Source organism: Homo sapiens, chromosome 3 (genome assembly GCF_000001405.40).
Source record: "Homo sapiens chromosome 3, GRCh38.p14 Primary Assembly".
NCBI classification, from domain to species: domain Eukaryota; kingdom Metazoa; phylum Chordata; class Mammalia; order Primates; family Hominidae; genus Homo; species Homo sapiens.
In genome coordinates, this window is record NC_000003.12 from 15,952,100 (window position 1) to 15,965,601 (window position 13,502).

The following is a 13,502-nucleotide window of genomic DNA, read 5'->3' on the forward strand; positions in this document are numbered from 1 at the left end:
ATCTTGGCTCACTGCAACATCCACCTCCCAGGCTCAAGTGATTCTCCTGCCTCAGTCTCCTGAATACCTGGGATTACAGGTGTGCGCCACTACCCACCGGGCTAATTTTTGTATTTTTAGTGGAGATGAGGTTTCACCATGTTGGCTGGGCTGGTCTTGAACTCCTGACCTCAAATGATCCACACACCTCAGCCTCCCAAACTTCTGGGTTTACACGCCCAGCCAATAGACTCTTTTAAACTGAATTCTGGTCCTTTTGATTATTTCAGGTTGATGATGTAATGGTTGATTTTATACATCAACTTTACTGGGCTAAGGGATGCCAGATAGTTGGTAAAACATTATGTCTGGGTGTGTCTGGGAGGGCGTTTCTGGAAGAGGTCAGCATTTGAATTGACGAACTGAGTAAAGCAGATTATCCTCCTCAGCGTGGGTGACCATCATCCAATCCTTTCAGAACCTGTGTAGAACAAAAAGGCAGAGGAAGGGCAGTGAATTGTTGCTCTCTTTTTGAGCTGGGACATCCATCTTCTGCCTGTGAACATCAGTGCTCCTGGTTCTCCAGCTTGCAGACAGCAGATCTCTTGGCCTCCATAATTGCATGAGCCAATTCTTACACTCTCTCTCCCCGCAAACTCCTGTGTCTATATATATCATCTGGGTTCTGTTGCTCTGGAGAACCCTGACTAATACACATGACAAAGACTGATGTAAAGGGTAAAATCATTCTGTGCCTTGAAGGATCTTCTATGTGTTTCAATCAGTAGGAGGAGTGATGTGTAAATTAGCAAAGTCATCATTTGCAAATGGCTCTTTTCAAAATAATTTTATAAGTACTTAAAAATAGTTTGTTGGCCTTCCTTCTTAAGAAAGATAAACATTTCCTTTGTTTACACATATTGATTTGCTTTATAAGCAAATCTACTGAGTGCAATTTCTACAGAGAGCGCAAAAGTCCAGCCTGCTTAAACACTGTGATCACCTTGTAGTGCATGAGGTCTTGCCATGCTCTTCCAGGTCACTATTCTATAACCAAATTGGGCCTAATCCAGACTAAGGTGCTCTCTGCTCATTTTAATTTAATTTATTTTTTTTAATTAGCAAATTTTTTTTAAAAAAATAACAAGCTTTTTAAAAAAGAAATTAGCAAAAAAATTTTAAAAAATAATTTAGCTATCTGTTTGTTAAACACAACATCATTAAAAAAAATTTTGGAGGTCTTTCCTTGGAAGGGTGGGCAAAGCTGGAGGCAGCCTACTGTAGGAAGAAGATCCCAGGCCAGAAGTTAGAAGACATGTAGTAGTTCTAGCTCTGATCACAACTAGTTATGTTAACTTGGCCTCTTTGGGTATTAGTTTTGGATAGGACAAGGGTAAAGTGAGAGGGATACCTAGGCTGGAGAATTTAAGGATATACTTTCAGGACTGACTGCACTTACTTTATCCTGAAAATGAGTGCCGACTTAAATTTTGTACCTTAGTTTCTCATTTGTCTTTCTCTAGCCCTAGGTTTACTCAGTTTCCTTGTCTGTGAAATGAGGAGCCAGGCTTTGTTATCTCTGTAATCTTTCCCAGGGCTAACATTTTATGTCCCAAACCTAAAGCTTAGGCCAACATAGAACCAGTCAAAGTAAGACACGTGTAATTACCCAGTTGAACCTGGTCAATAGTCTAGCTGAATAATTCAGGGCAAAAGTACCCTGTTTTTCTGCAATAGGAGGGTGGATTTTCTTTGCTCTGCAGTTCAAGAAGGTTGTAGGAAGAGTCCTAAGTTACCCTCTATCTTAATTATATCAACAGTCCTAGCTCACTGGCTCCATTGCTTTTTTCTGACTTGCAGCCCAGGCCATCCACAAATTGCCATGCCATCTCTTGCCCTGTGATGATACATTCACTTGTGCAATCCAGAAATTCTCAAATGTGTGTGTTGGTGAGGGAGGGTAGTGTTAAGGTGTACAACTAGCTGTGCCCCCTAGGGGTGATATTTATTTTATTTTAAATTTCACATAACTTGAAAGGAAGACCTGAGTCAGTGGCATGCAGAATCCACTCCTACTAGTTGGTGAGAGTGACTGTTAAAATTTCAAGAATTTAGTGAGCTGCTTGTTAAACACAACATCATTAAAAATTAGATAAACTTACAATTAAATAAATTATATTAAAAACAAAGGTAATAAATAGCAAAATTTCTTCACTTCCTAATTGTTTTACTACATTAACTATTACGTTCTTGAGGTTATTTACATCTATTATATATGTATAGTAGAAATACTAAATAACCATGTGCTACTTACTGCACATCTCAACTCTATGTTCAGTCACATCATATGGTAGCTGGAAATCAGACACACTGGGAGCATTTACACCATGGAAATTGGCAGATGCTTTGCTAGGGCTTTGCCAGGGATTTTCACTTGCTTAGGTTAACGAAAAAGTTGAAAAATATGTTACTTGTGATTTACCCTTGCCCTATCTATATAAAGCAGCTTCATGTAGTGGAAAGAGCTCTGCATGGACTGGTTCTGCTAATAATTTGAGAATACCACCTCTGTCCTTCAACATCCCCCCTCTCTGGAGCAGGCAAAAGTATAATATTTTCCCTTGTTATCTCATAAGATTATTAGGATAATAAATGATCATTTTTGAAACAAAACTTTATTTTTTAACTCTTAAAATAATTCGGTGGTTTATGATTTGTAGTTTAATAAAAGGGCTTAAAAAAAGTGAATACCTTTGTCTTAGTCCTTTTTGTGCTGCTATAATAGAATATCACAGCCATAGTAATTTATAAACAATTGATTTTGTGTATGTGTGTGTGATGGAATCTTGCTCTGTCAGCCAGACTGGAGTGCAGTGAAATGATCATGACTCACTGCAGCCCCAACCTCCTGGGCCCAAGTGATTCCCCCACCTCGGCATCCCAAGCAACTGGGATCACAGGTGTGTGCCACCACGCCCAACTAGTTTTTTAATTATTTGTAGTTACGAGGTCTCACTATGTTGCCCAGGCTGGTCTCAAACTCCCAGGCTCAAATGATCTTCTCACCTAGACCTCCCAAAGTGCTGGGATTACAGGCATGAGCCACTGTGCCTGACCAACAATAGAAGTTTATTTGGCTCATTTTTCTGAAAGCCATGAAGGCCAAGATCAAGAGGCCACATCTTGTGAAGGGCTTCTTGCACCATAGTAACATGGCAGAAGGCATCGTATGGCAAGAGAGTGCATGTGAGAGAGGAAAGAGAGTCAAACTCACTCATTATAAGGATGCTGCTCCCATGGTAATGGCATAAATCCATTCATGAGGGCAGAGCCCTAATGACCTAATCGCCCCTTAAAGGTCCTACCTCTCAACACTGTTGCTTTGGTGATTAAATTTCCAACGCATGAACTTTGGAGGACACATTCAACCCATAGCAACCTTATATAAACAAAAGGTGTTGTTGCAAAAGATCACACAGTCACAAGAGAATGGTTAATAGATATGAAGGCATAAAGCTAGAAAAATAAAAAATAAAAAATGCATGGGTAAGACGAAGGGTTATTAATAACTCAGAATTTTATGTTAAAATTATTCATTTGTACGCATTTTTTTCTCCATACACAAAAAATGTGTGAACAAAATGTAAAAGGATTCATTTAGCACCTAATGCTGTGATTTATTTGTTGGAGCAAAGTGGTAGAGTGCCACCTTACCTCCTTCCTCAAGTCTCACACTTGATCTGCAGTTGCGAACTGTAAGCTTGGGCCAGAGAGGGACAATGTCTGCTCTCTATTTCTGCCCACTTGAGGCCATTAGACATAACCTTGAGTGGTCTGAGCCCAGCTGTGGACTATAATCTCATGGTGTGGGGGTGGGGGTGGGTCACAAAGTTATGATACAATAATAAGAAGTCTGAATTCATTTCAATCCCAAAAGCTTTGTCTGTAGAATAAAGAATGATTGTTTTTTAAATGCATCTAGACACTGTTGTTATGAATCAAACACAATTTCACTTCAAAGCCCTACTGAATCCGTAGTGTCTTTCTGTTACCAGTGCTAAAGCTGAGCTCTAGCCAAGAGCACCCAGCTGAGGGGCCTCACACAAGGGCTGGAAGCAGTCACAACTCTCCTCCATGAGCCATTTGTCCTGTTTTGGTGCTGAGTCATCCCTGAGAGGAAGCACTACCATTTTCTAATGGATCCATATAATTGATCCTCTTTTACTTCATTTCATAAAGCCATGCAAATAGTAGCAAGGACTCTATAGGAATTATGTATGTTCTTAATCAACAGATATTAACAAAACACCACCAGAGTACAAGTGTTTTTGCTATCAGAAAAAGAGGTGTTCATGTCTAAAAGGTTTGGAAAACCCTGGGTTGAGATTTTTGAGTCTGTCTGGACTAATATTTCCAATTCTCCTCCAAAATGTGTGTCTGTTTGTATGTGTGTGTGTGTGTGTTTGTGTGTGAGAGAGAGAGAGAGACAGAGAGAGAGAGAGAGGAAGAGGGATCTATCTATCTATCTATCTATCTATCTATCTATCTATCTATCTATCTATCTAGAATGAGATTGCAAAGCTCACCCCCAATAGAGATCAGGGTAACTGGATTTTACCAGTCTCTATTCTTTCTCAGACTCTGATGAAGATTCTGCTAATATGATGTTTGTCATAGATTCATTCAAAATCTACCAGTTAGCTTTTACTGCAGAGTAAGACACCTTAAAATATATGTTAAAACAACAAACATTTATTATTTCTCACAAATTTGTGGGTCAGCTGGACCAGCTCATTTGGGGCTAGGTGGTCTAGAATGGCCTCACTTACATTATCTGATGGTTGGCTGGGGGGCAGTGGGGATACTTGGCTGGGTACTTTTCATCATCCAGCAGGCTAGTGTGGGCTTACTTACGTGGTAATGGTCTCAAGGCTCCCAAGAGCAGCCAGAGAGCAAGCCCTGGTGTGTAAGTGTGCAAGTAGTGTGACATCCTCTGCCTGTATTCTGTTTGCTAAATTCCCATTGGAAAAGTAACGTGTCCAGCCCAAAGTCAGAGTGGGAGGACACAAAAACAGCATGGATAGAAATTGTGATCATGATCGCAAATTATCACGCTCATTGATTTTAAAGACATTAGGGAACAAAATCCTATTTCCAATTTCCATTAGAGAAAAAGAACTGTTTTCTGCTTTGTCTAACATTATGGCTATGTAATTTTGAATTTTCTATAACAATAAAAAGGAAATAAGACAGAACTAATTTTTATAATGTATTTTATGTAATCCAATGTATTTATGTAATTCAATGTTATTATTTCAGTATGTAATCAACATAAAGAGTTAGGAGGTCTTTTTTTTTTATATGAGCCTCTTAAACCTAGTGTGTACTTCATCCTTACAGCATACCAGAATTTGGACTTGCAACATTTTAAATGCAATGGACCCATGTGGCTAGTGGCTACCACACTAGATGGCACAACTTGATAATATAGACTTCATTTCTTTATTTACATGAGAAAATTGAGGCTTAGAGAGGATAAGTAGCTTTCCCAAGGTCACATGGCTCTTCAGTGGTTGGGCCAGAATTCAGCTCCACACTGATTTGACATGGAAGGCTTTGCTCTTTCCACTATACCACATTGGCTGCATCAACAGGCTTTTGATGAGATGGGTAGAAAGCACTTGTGCCACAGTCCTCCTTTTGAAATATAAACTGCTCGCCTTTCCCTTAGTCTGCGGGGTCTAATTCTTTGACTTCTGGGGCCTTCCACGATTTAGCCTTTATCCTATTCATTCATTCGTCTCCTTTCCCAAAATATATCATGCTAACCTGGGAATTGGAAGACATGTTTCACTCCTGTACTACCTCCCTTTGGGCCTCTGTTCATCAGTGCTTTGATATGTATGTGCTCTTCTTTCTTTCTTGGTGGTTCTCAAGAGCAAGAGCTATGTCAATGATTTCTCTTTTATTCTCCTACTCTGTATGCTTATTCTTGTACTTTGTAAGCTCTGATGTACAGCATTTTGTATAGTTCTTTTTTGGGAGTGGGAGCTCAATAAGTCAGTGACCCAACTGAGCTGACATCAGAGAAAGGGCCAAGGCTGCTCCACAGAGGGATCTAATGTCCCAAAGGATGTAAACCTAGGGATGTTAGACGATGGCCTCCAAGTACCTGCTTCCTCTGGAAGGAAGGAAGGCAGCTGGCTGACACATGGCTATGCCATGAACCCGGGGCAGCCTGGCACATCACAGGCCCTCAATAGATGTTTGTTGGAAGAACAGATTCCATGTACTTCTAAGTTGATTTGAGCTCAAAGCAAGGAGGGATTGACACACTGTCCTCCATCCTCACAAAATTGATAAACATAGCATTTTTATAACATTAGGTAAATTCTGAATGTAAACTTAGTGGCAGAATACAATTGGATATTATTGATTGACAATTAAAATAGCAATTAAAAACTGCCCAGTCTCTAAATGATCTTTTTCAACATTACATCTATTTTTCTATCTGAACAGAATATCTATATTTTTCAACTTCTTTTATGTTCCCCTGATGAAAAAATAGCAGTTAAAGACTGCTTCACTCTGATTAATCCTTTCCAATATTTTACCTATTTTTCTGTTTGAAGAGACTGTATTTTAAAGCTCCCTGTGTATTCCTTTGATGAAATATTGGAGCAGTTTTGGTTCCTGAGGTTTCTTTTTTTCTTTCCATTTAATTAAGCTGATTAGTATCCCATATGGAGTGGAAACAATTGTTTTCAGATATGCTAGCATACAGTTACCCAAGGAGCTGCAATTGTTTACATGTTTCTAATTTCCTTATGGAAATTCTTAGACTTTGTTAGATAAAGATCTGGCAGACTCTAATTTTGAACATTACAGCCTTTGGTTATCAGACATGGCTATATCCTGTTCAGTGGCCTCTGGGATAAAATAGTATATTCTACAATTTTCGTTCCATAGAGTGAACTTTCAAAAGCCTACCCAGCATCCATTTCCTCTTGCCTGTTTCTAACAGCACTCTGATTTTTGTTCAGGAATACCTCTACCCGCATGCAGAGCTGAGGTTTAGGGAAGCTGACCCTGCCTTCAGCTGCAGTGTGGGCCTCACTGTTCTATGGGTAATTCTACTCCTTTGCCACAGCGGAATCCAGACCTTAGATAATCTATGGGTGGCATTCTTGGGTCAAGGGGATTGGTTCAGGAATGGGCATGTGACCAAATTGTGACTAATAAGGTAGAAGGTTTTGTAAGAGTTTCAGGATAGGAGGATTCCTAAAGAGTGGGGTTACTGGGTAATATGGTCCCTCTTCCTGTGGACATTGTTATGGCCAGGAAATGCTACTGTCACCTCGCTGGTGGCCCGAGTAAGTTGCCAAGCCACAGAAGAGGAAGGGGCCAAGCAAATCATAGAGAGGCAGATTTGGAGGCTGATGGAGCCACACCTGACAGCTACCCAGCATCTGGACTCTTTCAGTTAAATTAACCAATAAATCCCCTTTAGGGTATGAGCCAGTTGGAATAGAGTTTTCTATTACTCACAGCCAAATGCATCCTTGCCAATATAGACAATTTCACCAAAGAATTGTGAATCATAAAATAAGAACTCAGTCCTAGGAAATAAAACATAAATGTGTGAGTGAATACAGAAAAGAAAATACAGAGCAGGCCTGGATGTAATACAGTCCTCCTTTCTTCTATCTTCCAAATGAAGAAACAGGTTCAGAGACTTCTGACAAAGCTTGCAAGTTACAGAGCCAGGATTCCTGCTAGGCTTATAAGTCATAAACACACACACACACACACACACACACACACACACACACACGTATATATATACATATGTACACACACACATGTATATATATATATACACACACACACATAGGTACACACACACACACGTATATATATATACACACATATGTACACACACACGTATATATATATACACACATATGTACACACACACACACACACACACACACACACTGAGCTATACTTTGACAAATTCCTTCAGAGAAACCCAATGGGCAATCTGGTACCAGACCCTACCTTGACCTAATCAAACAGCTATGCTACTCTTGCTATAGTTCTTATAAAATATATGAACAGAAAATAGTCTGTATATCTTCTTATTTTTCTACACAAGGTTCTGTCTCAACAACCTCGCCATTTTTCTTTAAGTGACTTGGCTTTTTTTTTTTTTAACAATTTATGTTCTGATTGCTTTATTCGTAATGCGTAGAGCTGGTCAAAGGGGTCAATGAAAAGAAGATAAATAGAAACTGATTACAGCACAAATCAAATGTGTAAATAAACATCATAATCTCATTTTGACATCCCAGGCTTGTGGTCAGGTATCATGGTCATATGTCATCCATCTTTCGTAGGCAGTTCAGCAATCTCCAGTCATTCCCTAAGTGGGCTCAGTAGTGACCATCTGGCACTGGTGGACCACCAAGCAGATGCCTGGTCGATGAACATTCCCATCATGTCTCTTCCAGGCCCTGAGACCTACACCTCTCTCAGAGCAAATTTAAAAACTTCTGGCCTGGTATGCCAGGTTCTTGGTATCCTCATTCCACTTGCCTCTCCAGCTTGTGGAAATGATTTTATTTTCTCTCTCTCTCTCTCACTCTGTTTCTCTCTCTCTCTCTCTACCTCTACCTCTATTTCTGTCTCTGTCTACCCTGTTATACTTCTTCTCTTCTAAATGCCATGCTCTTATTTTCCTATGCTTCTTATTCTTTTTTTTCATCACTAAAGATCTATCCTTTCTTCTCTCTGTCATAATAAGACTACCTCTTATTGATTTCATAATGAGAACTTCCAACAATCTATTTGTCCCTTTATCTCAACCTTTTTGGTTAAACAATTCAATTTTTTTTTTTTTGAGACAGTCTGGCTGTGTCGCCCAGGCTGGAGTGCAGAGGCACAATCTCGGCTCTGCAAGCTCTGCCTCTTGGGTTCACGCCATTCTCCTACCTCAGCCTCCCGAGTAGCTGGGACTACAGGTGCCCGCCACCACGCCCGGCTAATTTTTTGTATTTTTAGTAGAGACGGGGTTTCACTGTATTAGCCAGGATGGTCTTGATCTCCTGACCTTGTGATCCACCCACCTCGGCCACCCAAAGTGCTGAGATTACAGGCGTGAGCCACCGTGCCTGGCCGACAATTCAATTTTTAATGTTAGAACATCTCAACATTTTCTTAAGATGATTCAGGTATTTAAAAGTAATTTCCCTAAACAATTATATAATTTTTAAAAGTCTCTCTTTTTCTATTTTCTAATACCTTCCAGAATTGGATAATTAGAAAATGTTTTTGAGTTTTTAAAAAAATTATTTTTATTTCCTTTTTTAAAAATTTTCATTTTTTTATTTCAATAGATTTTTGGGGAACAGGTGGTGTTTGATTACATGAATAAGTTCTTTAGTGGTGATTTCTGAGATTTTGGTGCATCCCTCACCCAAGCAGTGCATACTGTACCCAATGTGTAGTCTGTTATCCCTTGTCACCCACCCCACCCTTTCCCCTGAGTCCCCAAAGTCCAAGGTATCACTCTTATGCCTTTGCGTCCTCATAGCTTAGCTCCTACTTATAAGTAGGAACATATGATGTTTGGTTTTCCATTCCTGAGTTACTTCACTTAGAATAACAGTCTCCAATTCTATCCAGGTTGCTGCAAATGCCATTATTTTGTTCCTTTTTATGGCTGAGTAGTATTCCGAGGTATGTATATACTACATTTTCTTTATCCACTCATTGGTTGATGGGCATTTGGGTTGGTTCCATATTTTTGCAATTGCAAGTTGTGCTGCTATAAACCTGCATGTGCAAATATCTTTTTCATATAATGACTTGTTTTCCTGTAGGTAGATACCTAGTAGTGGGATTGCTGGATCAAATGGTAGATCCACTTTTAGTTCTTTAAGGAATTTCCACACTGTTTTCCGTAATGGTTGTACTAGTTTTCATTCCTACCAGCAGTATAAAAGTGTTCCCTCTTCACCACATCCACACCAACATCTATTTAAAAAAATTTTTTTGATTATGGCCATTCTTGCAGAAGTGAGACGGTATTGCATTCCACTTGTATATCTTCTTTTGAGAATTGTCTATTCATGTACTTATCTCAATTTTTGGTGGGATTCTTCGTTTTTTTTCTTGCTGATTTGTTTGAGTTCTTTGTAGATTCTGGATATTAGTCCTTTGTCAGATGTATATGTTGCGAAGATTTTCTCCCACTCTGTGGGTTGTCTGTTAATTCTGCTGATTATTTATTTTGCTGTATAGTTTTTCAGTTTACTTAAGTCTCATCTATTTATCTTTGTTTTTGTTGCATTTGCTTTTGGGTTCTTGGTCATGAAGTCTTTGCCTAAGCCAATGTCTAGAAGGGTTTTCCCAATGTTATCATCTAGAATCTTTGTGGTTTCAGGTCTCAGATTTAAGTCTTTGATCCATCTTGAATTGATTTTTGTATAAGGTGAGAGATGAGTATCCAGCTTCATTCTTCTCCATGTGGCTTGCCAATTATTCCAGAAGCTTGTTTTTTTTTTTAAATGAAGAAATGGTAAAGAAGGTAAGTCCTCCACTAGACTAAATATGAGCATGGCACCCTGATACAAATAATGTAGTCAAATTCTTATCTGGACTTCATTGTCTACCCCCAAGCAATTTGTCAAGTTATTTTCCTAAATACAGAGTTTTCCTGCCAAGAATTCTGGTGACAGTTGTCAGGCAATAAAATTGTAATTTCCTGGCTATAAATGAATGGTCTTTCCACTGACAGATGACATCATATTGTATAGATTCATTCCTGAAGAATCTATTGCAGCCCTAAAGTACTACTACCTTTACCTTTTAAAGGGGCTCTGAACTTTCCGAAGCTTACTAACTAAAAGGATATTTTAAAAACTTCAATAATGGCTATTATATCATTATTTACCATGTAAGTATTATTGTGGCACATTGCAAAGCATTGGTAATATGGCCATCGCAGAGTTATCTTGCCTAATCATTTAATCCTAAGGTTTCTTTTAAAAAAAATGGCTCATGATCCACAAAGACAGTAAGCACATAAGATTTCAGAGGAGAAAACAATCGCTGTAGCCTAGAATAATTGAGGTTTCAGCAGTGAAATCTGAGTTGGCCAGGTAGGATTCAGCTGGGAGAGAGGAAGCAGAAAGGTACTCTTGTCTAAGTGAATAGCGTGGACAAATCTGCGGTGATGAGAATGCATAAAGCATGCTTTAGGGAACAGTCAGTTGAGTAGTCTAGCTGGGGTAGAGTATACTGTTGTAGAAAATCTTAAAACTCAAGCAAGATAGTTTGCATTTTTTTGCTTCTGTGAGCATATGGGAACCTAGCACTGGAGGCTAGGAGGGAGGGATGAGAGCTTTAAGAAGGTGAACCTGATTGCAGAGTGCATGGCTCTGGAGGCTGGGGGTCCATTTTAGATGAAATGAAGTCGTCCATGTGCAACTGCAACAGCTTGACTGAAGGAGGGAAAGGGAGAGTGGAAATGATGAGTCAGAGGGGGAGATGTTAGGAAGAAAAAGGATCAGCAGCTCTTGGGGACCAACTGGAAAAGGAAGTCCAGATGGAGAGGGCATCCAAGATGATTCCAAAGTTTGCAGCCTTCATCATGGTGGAAGAAACTACCCTTGGAAAAATCAGGAAAGAAAAGGGAGCCAGGATTAGGAGGTAAAAAAAGGAATTTGTTCCCTAATAGACTGAGTTTGAGGTGACAGTAAGATAATGAGGTGGGGCTGTTCAGAAGGCAGTGGGGAAGAAAGTTAAGAAAACCAGTCAGGGCTGGAAATAAGGATCTGGGAGCTGTTTCCGCCTTAAAATGGTCCTCTTTCCTTCCTAACAGAATTCCACCTGTGTTTGGGCTGCCATGTGCCCAGATGGAAAGGATAAGCCATGATTGGCCAGACCCCAAATATGGTATCTCATTTCCCTTTGATTGGTTAAGGGGTGAGAGTGTGATTCCGTTCTGGCCAATGAGGCTAAAGGGCTCTAGGGGGGATTTTTTTTTTTTTTTTCCTCCTGGTAAAGAGACCACCATAGGGCGGAGCCCTGAGCTTCCATCTTCCTCCTTCCTGCTAGTGAGCTTGGCCAGGGGGGCTTGGACACTTTGGAGAGGGGCCGACACACGGATGATGACAAAACAGAAAGATAGTAAGAGCCTCTGGTTCCTAGTGGCCTTGTGGATTTGCTGAACCAAGCCTTGATGTGCTGACCTCCAGACTCGTTACACTTAACATTTATTAAATGTCTTTATTACTTAACTGTTGGTTGGTATTTTATGATTTTCAGCTTATCTTAACTGATATGGATATAATTACTAATGCTTGTGAGAATGGATGAGCCCTGAGAAGGGGGAAGAGAAAGACAAAGCCTGGAAACTTCTTTTAGCAGATGGAAACCTTTTGCTAATTAAACCTTAAGGTTTTTAATCTTAAAAGCTACACAGAAAACTTGTTTTAATTTTGAAAACATAATACTCCTCCTCCCCCAACACGCGCACCGGACAACCTCTCTCCTTGAACCACTCCGGGTGGTTCAAATTCCAAAGAGCATATGTTTCAAATGAAAGGTCAAAAAGGAGATCGGTTTCAGTTTGGAGCTAAGGGAGAGTGATTATTTCTCTAATGTGAGCTGCTTCCTGTTGCTAAAACACTGCCCCTTCAAATGAGATTGTTTGCTAAGTGAGGCATCTCCTTCCTCTTTCTTCCTTGGATGAATTAGCAAGCAAGAAGAGTCAGTCTGAGGCTCCTCACTGTGACGGACTGAGGAGCTTTATTTACTCCCTGCGGATAGTGGCCTGCCACCAGAGAGGCCACAGGCCGGAGTGATGGAGCTGACTCATAGGGTAAGGAGAAAGTGGCCTGGATCGTTGACAGAGGTAAGCAGTGTCCAATTCCTCCTAGGCGGGGGAGGGAGAGGTTATGGCAAAGAAAGCCGTTTCTATTCCACTGGGCAATTAATGCCACCATTTTTCTTGAAAAAGCGTTTTTTTTTTCATAAGCCGTTGAGGATAATTTAACCCCCATCTTGACAGGACGTACTAATGACCGCTAATGGATACATTCTTTTAATAAATGAAGAGGCACAAGAAAATTGCCAGATATTAAACAGAGTCCCACATGTCTTATCTGAGACTATAATGGCTCTATCAAGTGACCCAAGTGAAAGAAATGTCACTCTTCAGAGGTTAAAGGAGTCTATTTTTTCTTAGTGCGATATAAATTCATGGCTAGAAAGAACAGTAATTCATTGGTCTACCCTAGGAAATGTTTAAAGGGGGCTGTATCTCAAATGATGCATTTTCTATCGGTAGTAAAGAAAATATGAAATAGGTACCTCTGTGCACTGTGGATTTATGTAAATGGCTTTTTACCAGGTAATATAGCCTAAAGCTCTGTCAAGTCTCTAACGCTTGGAATTTTTGGCAAAGAAATGAAAGAACCTGTAAGTTATCATTATTTTATTTTATTTTTTTCAAT

General features: G+C 39.8%; 1 long non-coding RNA gene across 4 annotated transcripts in view, besides 1 other annotated feature; it reads left to right on the plus strand.

Annotated features, from left to right (window-relative positions):
• Positions 1 to 13,502, plus strand: part of LOC107986064 (uncharacterized) — a 112,662-nt gene that overhangs the window by 91,986 nt on the left and 7,174 nt on the right. Inside the window, exons 1-2 of one of the 4 annotated variants that reach the window (XR_007095833.1) lie at positions 10,045 to 11,940; positions 12,745 to 12,901. This is a non-coding gene — a long non-coding RNA (uncharacterized LOC107986064). Of the gene's footprint in view, positions 1 to 10,044; positions 12,902 to 13,502 lie in introns of those variants that run through there. The other 3 variants (XR_007095832.1, XR_007095834.1, XR_007095831.1) reach the window with 3 other exon arrangements.
• Positions 803 to 1,097: an enhancer, noted in NCBI's record as "tiled region #11154; HepG2 Activating DNase matched - State 9:DNaseU". NCBI's record gives its function as "activates a minimal TATA promoter and a strong SV40 promoter by Sharpr-MPRA in HepG2 cells {active_cell/tissue: HepG2}" and the evidence as "EXISTENCE:reporter gene assay evidence [ECO:0000049][PMID:27701403]".